Source organism: Homo sapiens, chromosome 10, assembly GCF_000001405.40.
Source record: "Homo sapiens chromosome 10, GRCh38.p14 Primary Assembly".
Classification (NCBI taxonomy): Eukaryota; Metazoa; Chordata; class Mammalia; order Primates; family Hominidae; genus Homo; species Homo sapiens.
In genome coordinates this window covers 110,563,199-110,577,800 of record NC_000010.11, presented here as the reverse complement: position 1 = coordinate 110,577,800, position 14,602 = coordinate 110,563,199, and the positions used below count along the sequence as shown (strand labels likewise).

The 14,602-nt window shown below is 39.0% G+C and overlaps 1 protein-coding gene, 1 long non-coding RNA gene and 1 other non-coding gene across 3 annotated transcripts in view, besides 4 other annotated features; 1 reads left to right on the top strand and 2 right to left on the bottom strand.

The window, feature by feature from the left end:
• SMC3 (structural maintenance of chromosomes 3) overlaps window positions 1–10,106 on the bottom strand; it is a 38,354-nt gene extending 28,248 nt beyond the window's left edge. Inside the window, exons 1-5 of the mRNA NM_005445.4 lie at window positions 9,970–10,106; window positions 8,788–8,863; window positions 4,056–4,094; window positions 2,398–2,465; window positions 309–380 (exon numbers count right to left, since the gene is read on the bottom strand). Coding sequence (NP_005436.1) covers window positions 309–380; window positions 2,398–2,465; window positions 4,056–4,094; window positions 8,788–8,863; window positions 9,970–9,984 — 270 coding nt within the window. The 5' untranslated portion in view covers window positions 9,985–10,106. The remainder of the gene's footprint in view (window positions 1–308; window positions 381–2,397; window positions 2,466–4,055; window positions 4,095–8,787; window positions 8,864–9,969) is intronic.
• Window positions 1,340–1,441, bottom strand: LOC124902586 (small nucleolar RNA U13). Its single transcript, XR_007062419.1, has one exon. It is a non-coding gene; the product is annotated as a small nucleolar RNA U13 (small nucleolar RNA).
• Window positions 9,497–9,786: a silencer, noted in NCBI's record as "silent region_2820". NCBI's record gives its function as "represses an Ori minimal core promoter by ATAC-STARR-seq in GM12878 lymphoblastoid cells {active_cell/tissue: GM12878}" and the evidence as "EXISTENCE:reporter gene assay evidence [ECO:0000049][PMID:35858748]".
• Window positions 10,127–10,226: an enhancer, noted in NCBI's record as "active region_4038". NCBI's record gives its function as "activates an Ori minimal core promoter by ATAC-STARR-seq in GM12878 lymphoblastoid cells {active_cell/tissue: GM12878}" and the evidence as "EXISTENCE:reporter gene assay evidence [ECO:0000049][PMID:35858748]".
• Window positions 10,237–10,286: an enhancer, noted in NCBI's record as "active region_4037". NCBI's record gives its function as "activates an Ori minimal core promoter by ATAC-STARR-seq in GM12878 lymphoblastoid cells {active_cell/tissue: GM12878}" and the evidence as "EXISTENCE:reporter gene assay evidence [ECO:0000049][PMID:35858748]".
• LOC105378483 (uncharacterized) lies at window positions 10,493–13,300 on the top strand. The gene is made up of 2 exons (XR_946318.2): window positions 10,493–10,768; window positions 12,788–13,300. It is a non-coding gene; the product is annotated as an uncharacterized LOC105378483 (long non-coding RNA).
• Window positions 11,101–11,803: an enhancer, noted in NCBI's record as "H3K27ac-H3K4me1 hESC enhancer chr10:112325756-112326458 (GRCh37/hg19 assembly coordinates)". NCBI's record gives its function as "activates a minimal SCP1, AML or CMV promoter by ChIP-STARR-seq in primed H9 embryonic stem cells {active_cell/tissue: H9 hESC(primed)}" and the evidence as "EXISTENCE:reporter gene assay evidence [ECO:0000049][PMID:30033119]".

Genomic DNA, 14,602 nt, shown 5'->3' with positions numbered 1-14,602 from the left:
ATAGTAAAGGAGAAAACTTTTTAAATAAGGTCATTTTAAAGTCCTTGCCCATAAGTATTTATTTTAAAATTTCAATTATCTCACTAAAAATAATACTACAAATACTCAATACTCTTAACCAAGACACTTTTCACAACAGTTTGTACATTCCCATTTGTTAACAGAGTATTCATTGTCATTTTAAGATAAAATCAGTATATAAACTGTAATTATAACAAATTATAAAAGCTTAAAAAGTTTCAAAGTATGAAGAAAATCAGCTAAACCAATTAAATTCTCAACATTACTTTAAAAAAAAAGTTACTTACTGGTAACCGGTTGTCTGAATTATCAAAAATAATCTCCACAAAAGCAGAAATAACACGAGGACCAGTACCTTCCTAAAAATGAAAGAAGTGAGAAATTTGCCATTTAAGTTGTATATTCATATCCTTTAAAGGATTCTTAAAGTCTAGGGCATAATAACAAGTCTGATTCAATGGAGAAAAATTTCTGCTAGATTCATATATACACACACACACTAATCTAACGTCTCTGCTCTTTTGGCAAGAGGGATACATACTTTGGGGATATCCCCAGAGTTATAGTATATATCCCTCTTGCCAAAACAGCAGAGACGTTAGATTAGGACAACAAAACTTCTCAACCAAATAGCTTTTGATTCTAAATAAAAAATAAGAGCTATGCAAGACATGTCAAAGTTAGATATCCTTAAATATGATTCTACAGACCACTTTATTAGACTGCAAGACTGGGGACATTTAACTCTACCTATTTGCTAATATCTAATACACCATGAGGCTTTTCTCTTACAGTCTCATTTTAATGCTGCAAAGAAATCCTAATAAATCATGGGATAATTACCAAAAGTCTGTTTTTTAAGAAAAATTGAGACATTCTACAGTTTTAAATCTATTATAGAAATATACACATTTAACATGTGTCACATTTAAACCAATCTATGACACAAAAACTATGGTACCAAGTCCAGATACCTTCCAGATTATAGAAACTATGTAGTAAATACAATGAAGAACTGTACCAAAGAGGTTATTAATTATTTTAATGCCAATCTGAAAAACCTAAAAAGAATTTTTCTAAAGGAAATCAATTCTGATTACTGGGCTACAAATTCAAACTAAACAAGGGGAAAAGACAGACAAGAGCTAAACAAAACAATTTCCTATGTGTGAGAAACACTGTTAAGACATGTTGAGGAATTTCATTTTCTAGTCTTTAATAAACAATATTCAAATCAGAAGGATTAATCGTTTTATTGTAGTCTTTCATGATTTTCTATCCTAAAATTACTTTAGTCCATTACTCATATTTTTTTCCACATCACATTGGTAATGTGCCAATGTCCTAACAAGGTTTGAGGGAGGCATGACTCACATGAACACGAAAACCCAATCATCGTGCTTATGCATTACAAAAGGACCCACTTAATAAAATATCCTAACTCACATTACTGTAAATATACAGGTGGTCCCCAACTTACGATGGTTCAACAAATGGCTGAATGACAACGTGATAGCAGTCTACATTCAGTAGAAACCATAATTTGAGTATCCATAAAATCACTGTTTTTTACTTTCAGCATAGTATTCAATAAATTATATGACAGATTCAACACTTTATTATAAAACAGACTTTTGTGTTAGATCATTTTGCTCAACTGTAGGCTAATGTCCATTTTTGACTTATGGTATTTTCAGTTTATGATAGGTTTATTAGGACATAACCCCGCTGTAAGTTGCAGAACATCTCTACTGTTTTTCATACTGGAAAATGATGTTTACTATCTAAGTACAAATATGGCTAAAACAACAAACAACTTGTATGTTGTTTAGTTTGCAATGGTTGTTTCTCTATGTTCCCAATTAATTTTTGGTTCTGCATCTTAAAGTTCCTAATCTGCAACCTCAAACTCTTCTTTCTCCTCAGCAAACCTGCTTCTTAAGCCTTTGCAGATCACATCCTTAAAGAAATGTACATGGAGGACATACCCACCTATAGGCAAATCCTATAATTTTCTCCTAACCATCACATAAAAATTAGGCCTTTATCTGGCATTAACATGTTAGGCTAAATTTCACAGCAGAATAAAACACTTATGATATATATCATGTCTCCTTTAAGACATTTATATGGAGGACATATCCATCTATAGGCAAATCCTATAATTTTCTCCTAAACCACTGTATAAAAATTGGGCTTTTATCTGGCATTAATATGTTAGGCTAAATTTCACAGCAGAGTAACACACTTATGAGAAAGATTGTGTCTTGTTCACAAAGAATCTGAAACTTGAACAAATGCTTTTTTAACCAGCATGGAAAATTTATTTTTAAAATATATGTAATATCAATAATGTCTTAAAGCAGTCTCACTCACATGCAATAAAGCCAACCGCTGTTCTGGACGAAGATGACTAAACTCATCACTGAGAACAAACTGAATTGCTGGAAATACAAAAACAACTATTAGTATACCCTAAAAAAGTGTTTATAACTTATTTATAACTTCCCACACCTCAATAGAACATAGTGTGTCTGGTAATAGACAATGCAAATAAATTATCTGTTTCATATGGACAAAAGGAAATGCAGAAAATGTGCCTGCACATCAGACTAATCAGGTAGGAAATGATATAAGAAAAATACTGAGAAGTTTTCATTGAAACATTTAAGGTAAGGAAATAAAGAGAAACCACCGAAATACATGAAAACAGACAAGCAAAACTAAGGTATACCTCTGGCTCAAAGTGTTCACTGACTGGATTAGGTTAACACTGTATTTGCTTTTTTCCCCACTAGACATAAATGATATGAGTTAAAATCCTTTTTAACAAAATAGGATGTATTTTGAGAATATGCTTAAGTGGATACTTTACCAAAAGAAATAAAACTAAGGAAATACAGGGAAATGTTTGAGATGCCCAACTTATACTACACTTCTTATACTATACCGAGCTCTGTAAGAAGGGGCCGTTCCTACTTCGGTATAGAGTACCTAACTGGACCACCCTGCCTAGGAAGTGGAACTCTTTACTCAGCTGTTCTTGTCCCAGTCCACCCAAGAGACCTCTGGCACTGTGTGTGTGTGGAGGTGGTGGGGGTGCCCACATCAGCAAGTACGTGCATAAGCATTAATGTGTGTGCTGTGGACACAGGTCGAGGTGAGGAGACTTCACACTGCCCTGGAGATTCTGAAATACTTCCACTTCAGTCCATTCTCTCATCATTGCCAAATTACAACCACAATAGGATATACAGGCTAGAGAGTGCCTTTCAGATTCGTGTGCACAGAAGAGATAGAACCTTTGTTCTTACTAAGCCAGTCCACTAAATGCCCCTTTCCCTCAAGCATTACCCAACTAAAAAGTTCAAATTTTTCAACCTACTCCTTAACTGTCTAATTTTGTTAAAATGTTTTTCTCCTCAAAGGATTTGTTAACAGACGCATTGCTATTTACACTTAAATGCAATTTAGAGAGAATTTTTGAAGCTCTATTTACTATCTTCAAAGTGACAACAGTCTGTTCAGTTTCAAGTTTTTTATACCTCTTCATCCTTTACAAAGATGATTGGTTTAGAAAACGTTTTCAAAAAGGTGAAATAAGAAAGATGAACAATTTTCCAAAACAATACTATCAACTATTCTACTGCATTTACATACGTTTAAAATATGCATTTATAACATTTATATATTACATTCAAGTTTAAAAAGCATTTTCATACATACTATTGCATTCCATTCTTACAAACCATCTAAGGTAGACAGGGCAAACATCCAAACATCTCCATTTTTAAAGTGAAAAGAAAAATTTGAGAGGCTACGTGTTTTGCCCACTCTCACACAGCTAATCAGCCACTGGGTATAAAGCAGAATTCAGATCTGTATACTCTAAACCCTCTACACTAAGCTGCAACCCCATATAAAGTATTTCTTGGGTTTCATGAATACATAACCTCAGAAAATTAATGATTTTAATAATCTACCCTAAGATACCCAGGTCTTAATATATTTACAATTCAAAAAGCAACACCTACCATAAAAAAAGTTACTTTTTCCAGATCCATTTCTGCCCACTGGAAAATTTCAAAAAGTACAAGTTATTTTACATAAAAACCAATAAAATTAAAACTGTTTACCTTTTTAAAAATACTCAATATTTTTAAAATCCAATTTTCTAATACATCTTAACATCTGAAATTAAACAGTGAACAAAAGAAACCAATAAAACAACTATAATCACCAAATAAATTCAATTTTTGTACAGACTTCTAATAGTTTTTTCTTTAAAGATATTTCACAGTTGATCCGTTTGCTCTTACCCAATAGTTTAAAATGAATAGGAATAGCTAAATATACTACCTGGCTCTTATATCATATTACAATGGATATATAATTCTATTTTAACTATATATGTTTAACAATTTAAAGATTCATATATTGCTAACGTTCTAAAATAATCATTTTAAATCCTTAAAGTGTTCTCATGTTTAAAATCAACCCTATATTATCATGTGTAGTCTCACAGAACCACAAAAATATAAATAATTTTAAGGTACTTTTTGACTAACAAAATTCAAATATAAGCAATTCAATACGTAAAAGGGTATCAAATCCTTTTAAGTGTGTTTAGTGAAATTTTCAGTGTTAAGACTCATAAATAACTATGTCAGTCTTCTCACTCTTGAGCCAGAAATATCCTGAGCAAATTAACCACAAAGTTACCACCTTTAATGCAAAGTAAATCTCAAAAAGATCATTCATGTCATGCCAGAAAGGATGTACTTTTTAAAAAAACGCATATGACAGACACAGGAGCCAGCTTGAAGGGGCCTTTCAGTAGCTAAAACTAGGGGTAATCTGAGCATCAAAATGGCCAAATAAATTATAAATTATTGGTGGGGGGAATAATCCATGCATCCATACCAATAATAAAAAGATAAATAAGTAGGTAAGGAAGGAGGAGAATTACCAAATGCCAAGTTGTAAATGTGAAAGGAGTGCTGGAAATGAAAAATCATTTTGTGACCGTCAGAATAAAGGCAAGGGTCATCAACAGATGGTAAATGCAGGCACAAAGTTTGAAAAGGAGCACAAGATTTACATGGTCCAAAAGCATCTGCCTATATTACTTATTAGCTGCAAGGGAAAAAATAATACCTACACAGTGGAAACATTAGACCTTGACTGGGTGATCAAAAGTAATATCATCAATAAGAGTCAGACAGACCTCATGTGCCTCCAGATGTGATATCCTGAGAGGGACACAACATCACTTATGTCTTAATTCTCAAAAATAACAATGTTATAAAAGACAAAGGAAGGCTGTGGAAATGATCCAGATTAAAGGAGACTAAAGAAGCATGACAACTATGCAATACCTGCTCCTAAATTAGATCCTGTACTGGAGGGGGAAAAATGCTATCAAGAACACTTCTGGGTCAGTCAACATAACTGGAAAATGGACAGATTACTATGTATTAAATTTACTTAAGTTGTAAATTGTACTGTGATTATGAAAGAGAACATCCCTCCTCTTAGAAAGTACACATTAAAGTCAGAGGTAAAGGACCATGGTGTAAATAACTTTAAGGAAAAAGGTGTGTAAAAAGTGGAAATGATACAGCAAGTGGGGAAAATGTTAACAACAGGTGAATCTAGGTAAAGGGTTTATGAGTAGTCTCTGAACAGTTCTTATTGGGGAAATTTTTCTGTAAATTTGAAACTATTTCTAAATAAAAGTTTAAGATGACAATTTATCATTAAATGAATAAATATTTCAAACCACAATCCATCTATAAATAACTGAAATTTTAAGAATTTCCTTTTAAGAATTACTGCTAGAGTGGAACACTATATAGCAATTTTAAAGGATGCTGAATATTTAATAAAGATATTTCAAGATTTATCCTGAAGGAGAATAACAGATTACCAGTAAGTTATATGATGAACCCATTTTTTATTTAAAAATGAACCCATTTTTATTTAAAAATGAACCCATTTTTATTTAAATATATATTAAAAAGATGTATACAAAGACTAAAAACGTACTGAGGTAAACACAGTTTATATGTGGCCCCAGATTCACCTTTCTCAACCCAGGCCTTGGCTGCCAATCAATGGAAAAGCTCAGTCTCCTAATACCTCTGGTAGATTCAAGCTACCTTGGGAGTACATTCAGGTACTCCTGAATTGTGAACATGGAAAGGAGGCTATAACTCCCTGACTACTTCCGGGTGTTAGTTCCCAGAGCACCACAATCCAAAAGCTTGGAGGCATCAATGCCAGATGTAGAAAACTTTGACCAATGAAAGACAGGTGCCTGCAAACAAATCCTTGTCAGAATCCAAATCCATTCCTCTATCATCTGACCTTTCTAAGGTATGGTGGGTCCACAAAGTCTGTGAGTTATTTAACATGACTGCAAACCACCTGTCTCTTCTTTAGAAATCTATGACCAGCTTTTCTCTTCATTCTTGCCCTCAAACTGCACCTCCCATCAAAGCCTTAGCAGCTAATCCTGTCTGTGCTGTTTTCTAGGAAACCAGGACTAATCACAAGTATAGACTGTTATTATTAAGAATGGTTATCTCTGAAGAATCATGGTGTGCAGTAAAAAACAAAGAATGGTTATCTCTGAGTAAAAGGATTATAGTTTATCTTAATTTTCTTCCTTTTAGCTTTTCCATAATGTTCTATAACATGTATTTCTTTTGTTAAAGGTTAGGGGGAAAAAAATCCCTAAAAACGTATATGTTTGATGCATATACCCAACATCAGTACAAGAGATATTTTTTAATAGTCAACATCATTCATCAATCAAAGTGGTATGCTTTCACCAGATATTTTTAAGGCAAATCTCAGTACCTAACTACTTTTGGTCTTTCTTACATTATGTCTTACAACGTGTCTGGTTTTAAAATATGTTTAATCAGTACTGTTATCTTGGGTTCATTTGTTTTAGTTAAACAAAACCATTTTCCTTTGTAACAGTGACTATTAACAAATCTAATGCTGCAATCACAGAGGTAACACAACTAACTGATAACAGCTAAAACAATGGTATTTGATGGACCTTATAGACAAAATGTAATCATTCTAGCTAGTAAGTTACAGATCATTTATAAAATCACACAAATGAAATATTAAGGTACTTATTTTAAGGTGCAAGTTAAAGAAAACAGAAATCTAATAATTCTTATTTTTCTACATTTCTAAAGATTTTCTGATTGATGAAAAAAATCAGAAAGTACTTATATGTAAGCAAAACCCCAGTACAATTAAGCCACCCTATGGCATGTCAATTCAATTAAATGACTTCAGTAGACAGAGCACAAGCAGGGAAAAAAAAAGTATGCCTTCTTTATTCCCAACTACAAGGCTGCTATTGATAAATCGAGGGCAAAAAAACCTGCCTTCAATTTTATCATTTTATACAAAATGAAGTATGATTCTCTAAAGGTCTTCTGGAAACATTAGTAATGTGAATCTCACCCACGCACCACAGACTGAATTGAACTGACACCCTGAAACAACTGACACCTTAATCCCGAATGTGATAGTATTTGGACATGGGGACCCCTGGAAGATGATTATGGTTAAATGAGGACATGAGGATGGGGCCATGTGAGCACACAGCAAGACAGCAGCTGTCCATAAGCCAGGAAGAGAGCCTCACGAGAACCTAACCATGCAGGTATCCTGATCATGGATGTCTGACCTCCAGACTATGAGAAAAAAAATATCTTGTTTAAGCCACCAGTCTATGGTATTTTGTTATGGCTGCCTTAGCAAACTAATACACCACTTAGTTTGGACTCTGTACAGCAAAACTGTGTCAACAGCAGTCTGTGTTTCTGGTGTCCAGAAGCACTCCTTTCATCTATCCTGTAAAATACTCAGCAGAGTGTCAGAAAACATTTTTGTTAGCTGTATCAGCAAAATGCACACTACAATCTGAGCAATCTATAATGACTACATATTGTTAATGGCAATCACCATTAGCTCTTTATCTTCACACTTACATAAGGTTTCTCATTTAATCTTCTCAACAGCCCTATGAGACAGGTATCATCTCCACTTTACAAATGAGAAAACTGAAGCTTCTCAGAAAGTGAAAAAGAACGTGTGCCACAACTGGGATTTTTTTTTTCGTTGTTGTTATACTAGGATACATGTGCACAACATGCAGGTTTGTTACATAGGTATACATGTGCCATGTTGGTTTGCTGCACCCATCAACTCGACATTTACATTAGGTATTTCTCCTAATGCTATCCCTCCCCCAGGCCCCCACCCCCCTATAACTGGGATTTGAACCCCATTCTGTTATGCTCCAAAGTTTATGCTCTTCCAATCTAGCTACATGGTCTGTCCTTAGAGACACTGACTGCCGGGGTGGGGGGGGAATCCTGGCATCTACTTTGTGAATAAAAATTGTCTGTCTCTGAAATAAGGCAACAGTCAGCATTTTCACTAGGATATATAACAAGAACAGAAGAGCGGAAATGCTTTAAAACACTCTTACACACACATACAAGGCTACCTAGATAAAAAATGGATAACTTATGAGTGTCTTATCCAAACATTTTAAGTTTATAAAAATAAGCAATTCATCAGTGCAATAAGACAGAAAAGTTATTTCACGCAGAAAAATATAACTTAATATTCAAAGACAATTCCTGTCTCCTTAAGCCAATATAGAAATGGACAGAATTTACATTATCTGTATAGACTATAAATATGACCGAGTAAACCAAGAACACTTACCAATCACATTATGTTTTGAACTGAAGGGATCTACAATTGTTTGATCTCTGTAACTTCGAAAACCCTGGATAATCACCTAGTAAATAAAAAACATTTTTGAGAACCCACCCCACAAAAAAAATTAACATTTTTCTCTTGCATTTCTTTCTTGTTTTTCATTTAATGCAATATAGAAAACTCGAAATTTCATATAAGAAAAATTCATTTTGGAAAGTGGTGATTAAAAATCTGCTAAAAAAAAAAAAAGGTACTTTTATCGGTAATCTTTGCCAAGGCAATGCTGCTGGGTTTTATTTTTTTTTAGGAGTTATGCTGTCAACCTGTTAAGGACCTTTCAAAATCAAAAACACTGTGTGAGCTTAACTGAACCCTAAACGCTGCAGTACAATAGCAAGTCTATAAAAGCAGGCCGACGGGCCCCAGCTCTCCTGACTCCAAGACCACCGAGTGCTGCTTTCAGTCACTCACGCCGGCCAGCCTGAAAGAACCCACGTTCCAAAGAAGGAGTGCTCAGAGCCCGACAGACCCAACAGAAAACCGTCTCCAAGGCCGTGTGCCTGGGCTCATCTTTGTGGTGGAGTCCCGCGCGGGAAGACCATTTTGACAGAAGTAAACAACCGAGGGAGGCGGCGCTCCGTATCCTGCAAGCAGGAGGGTCCCGCTCACTTCGCGGGTTAACTGGGGAGAAGAACGGCTCCCCGCAGTGACAGGTGACGACACCCCAGCCAATGCCCCCAGGGCCGCCCCCGGGCCGGGGAAGCCACCTTTCCACACATCCCAGGCACATGGGCCGTGTGAGGCCACCCCTGCAGGACCACACAGCCCTTCCCGCCCGCGGCCGCCCCGGCGGGGTGCCCCCCGCCAGCTCTGGGGCCACCCAGGAAGGCCCAGTCCCTCCCAGCGGCCCGCCCGCCGGCCCTTCCACACCTCTCGGAGATCCTGCCTCTCCCAGACAAGCGCCAGCAGGGAGGCCGGGGCTGCAAAGGAGTGCCCCAATTCTCCGCGACCCCGCAGCCGGGGCACTAGCGGGACCCGGGTCTCCCTCCTCCCCCACAGTCCCCGCCCAGCCCTGGTCCAGCCTGTGGAGACAGGGGAGAGGCTGCGGGTGGCGCCGCAACACTCCCGCCTCAAGGAGCGGCCCTTACCGGCCCATGACGGGGTGGAGGGACGCGAAGGCCTTACCTGCTTTATGTACATGATTCCGGGCCCCTGGCCTGGAAGGAGACCTGCCCCGGAGCAGCAACCGCACGGCCGCAGGGTCAGGTGAGGCGCCTACGCGACCCCTCCCCCAAAGCGCCGCTCGCTCCCCTCAGCCAAACAAAATGGCGGCGCTCGTGGGGGCGGAGTCCGCGCCTCGGACGGAACCACCTTGCAGCCTTCACAGGGCGTAGGAGGAGTCAAGTTCAGGTCTGCTCTTTCTTTTAGGCAAAACCAGTCCTCCACAGCGTTTTTTGGTGGATTTCTTTTGAATCTAGAATTCTGTAGCTAACGCTTTCCTGAGACTTAGTCAAAAGCTTCACTCGGAAAATCTATGACCGTAGGGTTGGTCCGTACCACCTCCGAGCGCGGGGCCAATGGTCGCGTCCACAAAGGGGGAAAGGTTCCGCGCCAAAGCCAAGAGGGAGACTCCGAGGGCCAGTAGCGCCGCGGGCTGTCGGCCACGTGATTCCGCGCTGTTTAAAAAAGCGGACCTCGCGCGCACTGTGCTAGCCTTGGAACACATGGAATGCTGGTGATTCTTGGAATTCTGTGTGCGGAGTCACTGCTGCCCCTTTGTTATCGCTCTCCATAGGAACGTTTACAATCTTAGCACGCCCCAAGCTGGTTACGAATTGCCCACTCGGAGGACAACCCCGAAGGGATTTGTCAATGCTCGAAAATTTGTTTTAATAATGTGATGATTAATTCCGTCGGGAACTGTTTCTGTTCTACCATCTGCTATAAATCTAGGCAGATCTGTACAATTGCAACAAAGATTTAGGTAAGGCTGAAAGCTTTTAATCCACTTTAAAAACAAAAGAAAACAGCCTGAAAGATACTAGGTGCTAGTGGCAACCCTAGGTCTGTCTGATCCTTGTCAGTCTTGGGAGAAAAACATCATTTGTTTAGAAAATGAATCTCTGGGCTGCTCTGAAATTACTTGCTGGGAAGAGAACAAAATAACTACCCAAATCATCCCCAGCCCCACCCCCGCCCGCTGCTGGAGACAATTCTGGCCCTAATTATTTCTAGATTGAACTATTTTTAGTAGCCTCCTAACTGCCTCTGCTAACCAGGGTATCTCCCTAGGAGTCCTTTATCTGGAGCCCGGATCAAATCCTATCCAGCCCTTGGTTTAAAAAAATAAATAGGCCTGGTCGAGTGGCTCAAGCGTGTAATCCCAGCACTTTGGGAGGCTGAGGGGGGAGGATCACCTGAGGTCACGAGTTCAAGACCAGCCTGGCCAGCATGGCGAAACCCCCGTCTCTACTCGAAATACAAAAATTAGCTGGGCGTCGTGGCGGGTGCCTGTAATCCCAGTTAGTCGGGAGGCTGGGGCAGGAGAATTGCTTGAATCCAGGAGGCAGAGGTTGCAGTGAGCCAAGATCGCGCCACTGCACTCCAGCCTGGGCAACAGAGCGAGACTGTCTCAAAATAAATTAAATAAATATGTAAGCATTTTCTTTTCTTTATTTCTAACTTTTTTTTTTTTTTTTGACAGGATCTTGCTCTGTCACCCAGGGTGGAGCTGGAGCATAGTGGCTCGGTCATGGTTCACTGCAGCCTCAAACTCCTGGGTTCAAGCCATCCTCCCACCTCAGCCTACAGGCTGTGGCCACCAAGCCCAGCTTTTTTTTGTTTTTGTAGAGACCAGGTCTCCTTATGTTGCCCAGGCTGGTCTCTAACTTCTGGCCTCAAGCGATCCTCCCACCTCTGCCTCCCTAAATGCTGGGATTACAGGAATGAGCCACTGCACTCAATCTAAACATTTTACTTCTAGATTTTAGTTGTATTATTTAAAGCTTAGGACAGGTATGGTGGTTCACGCCTGTAATCCCAGCACTTTGGGAGGCCCAGGTGGGTGGATCACTTGAGGTCAGGAGTTTCAGAACAGTCTGGCCAACGTGGCAGATAGGATTATCTTATACATCCTGTTTGTAATTCTAAATATGATGGAGTTTTATCATCTTCATTTTATAGACTAGGAAGTGGAGGCTCAGCATGGCAAAACTCCGTCTCTACTAAAAATACAAAAATTAGCTGGGCGTGGTGCAGACGCCTGTAATCTCAGCTACTCAGGAAGCTGAGGCAGGAGAATCACTTGAACCCAGGAGGCAGAGGTTGCAGTGAGCCGAGACTGACACTGCACTCCAGCCTGGGTGATGGAGCGAGACTCTGTCTCAAAAAAAAAAATTCTAAGCCTCCACTTCCTAGTCTATAAAATGAAGATGATAAAACTCCATCATATTTAGAATTACAAACAGGATGTATAAGATAATCCTATCTACCTAAAATTGTTTATACATATGTAGGCAAAATATGAAAAGATGGTGACTAAAACATTTGAATGGCTTTCACAGTGATGGGAGTTTTACTTTCTTCCTTAGGCTTTTCCATATTAAATGAAGCTTATACAATTAGCTTATATAATTTATATAGGCAGAAAAAAAGATCAGCGAAAAACCTAAAATAATCAAAAGGTGATTTTGAGAATGTAATGCTTTTATTTATATTTATGTATTTATTGTCTATCTCTGCACGAATATAAATCCAAGAGAGAAGGGACTTCATTTTGTTCCTGCTGTTACTTAGTAACTAATTCACAGAAAGTACTCAGTATATATTTATGAGTGAAAAATGCACAGAAGCAAAGTACTTACCACCGTGCAGGGCTTACATATGCCAGCTACTGGTGTTTAAAAGCTCCCTATGTCCCCATTCCACCCACCTTTCATCCCCCTTAGGAGCATCATTCTCTTCTGGTAAGTACGTAGGAGTCGAACATATTGATCTCCTTTAGCCAGGATAAATAGTTATTCAAACCTATGAACTATCTGGAAGCAAAGGGACATTCCTGAAAGAAATTGCCACCATAAAGCAGAATGCCAGCCGCACAGTGCCTACTAGCTCATAGCTAAACAACGGAGAACTGCAGCCTTGAAACAGTGCCCCAAAGAGTTAAAGAAGTCTGTGACTAACAAATTCTTGAGTTTGCAGGATAGCAGATGAGAAAAGAAACAACTTGCTGAAACTCCCTCCACTTGTAATATTAAAAAACTGACTGAAATTGCTTGCAATCAACATGACTAACTGGAGTTTGTGCAGAATGGTTTGCTAACATCACAGCCTGAATTTCCAGTGCATGGTTCATACAAACTCCCCGAGTTTGACATATGATCCATGTGGTGGCATGAAGAGGTAACTGTGCATGCCTCAGCACTTTCTAGACCTCCGCTTTCCTTCCGCCAATCACCTACTAATCCCAGAATCCACCCATGAATTTTTTTCTAATAAAATTACTGCTTTAAACCTAGCACAGAGAGACAGATTCGAGCTGGATTCCTGTCTTTTTAGTCAACTTGCAATAAAAAGCTTTTCTTTTCTCAAAAACCCGGTATCATAGTATTGGCTTCTAGCACATCAAGCACTGAGCCCTTTTTGCTTGGTAACATCATTTTACATCTAAACATCCCATTAACAACACATGGCATCACCTCCTCAGTGTTTTTATTTCTCTCCCCCAACCCCACCTCAGATTGATTCAGCATGATCACTTAGACACACTGGAGTGGGAGGAGGGGAAAAAGAGACACTAATCATAAGTCTCTTTAAGAAGGGAGTCTCTAATGCTCAAAGCACAGACACACAACAATCATAATCCCGTATATTTGTGTAGCTCCTCACCCAGCTTCAAAGTGCTATCATGTGTATGGTCTGTCTTAGATTTTTCTCACTGATGCTGTGAGGAGCAAGGGTACTTATTTTGCATTGGGTTGGAAACCCAAGGGTCTTATGCTGACTCCATTTGACAAATTCCATGAGTTGGGACATGTCATTTTACCATGTGACTTTCTGTAGATAAAATGGGAATATTCTCTGCCTTTCCAGGCAGCAAAGATGCAGATAGACATTTGCCCCAACAGTCAGTGGTCAGACTTTGGGAGAGCCGGGTCACATCCTGGCTCTATCACTTGCTGATGTATGACCTGGGGAAGATTAACCTCCTGAAGCCTGTTTCCTCATCTATAAGTAAAGATTTTAATGATATCTATGGAAATTTCCTTGCAGGTAAATTAGGATGATTTATTTAAAATAACTGGCACAAGACATAGTGTTAGCTATTTTTGTTATTAGTTCATAGCCAAACTTGTAGTCAGCAAATCCCTGGGAAAAGACAGCAAAGAGCTAAACTGAAAGATCAAAATGCCAGGAGAAAACTGACCAAACACTCTGGGACCACCTCACCCCCCATTATTCATTCATTCATTGAACAGATATTTACTGATTACCTCTAGCATGAATGTGTCCTAATAGCGTTGAGGAGAAAGAAACTTTTCCTCTGCCCTTTTATGTTTATGGGTGAGGTGTGGAGTGGGGGGAATCCATGAACATAAGAGGACAGGAGCTTAAGGCTTGGCGGCGATCGCCTGTAGTCCCAGCTACTCCGGAGGCTGAGGTGGGAGGACGGCTTGAACCTAGGCGTTCAAGGCTGCAGTGAATCATGACTGTGCCACTGCACTCCAGCCTGGATGACACACTAGCAAAAGAAAAAGCAGATTTTAATCACATACGTACATGTGGGAGTTCACAAAGAAATGTGACTCAAAAGGGCAGT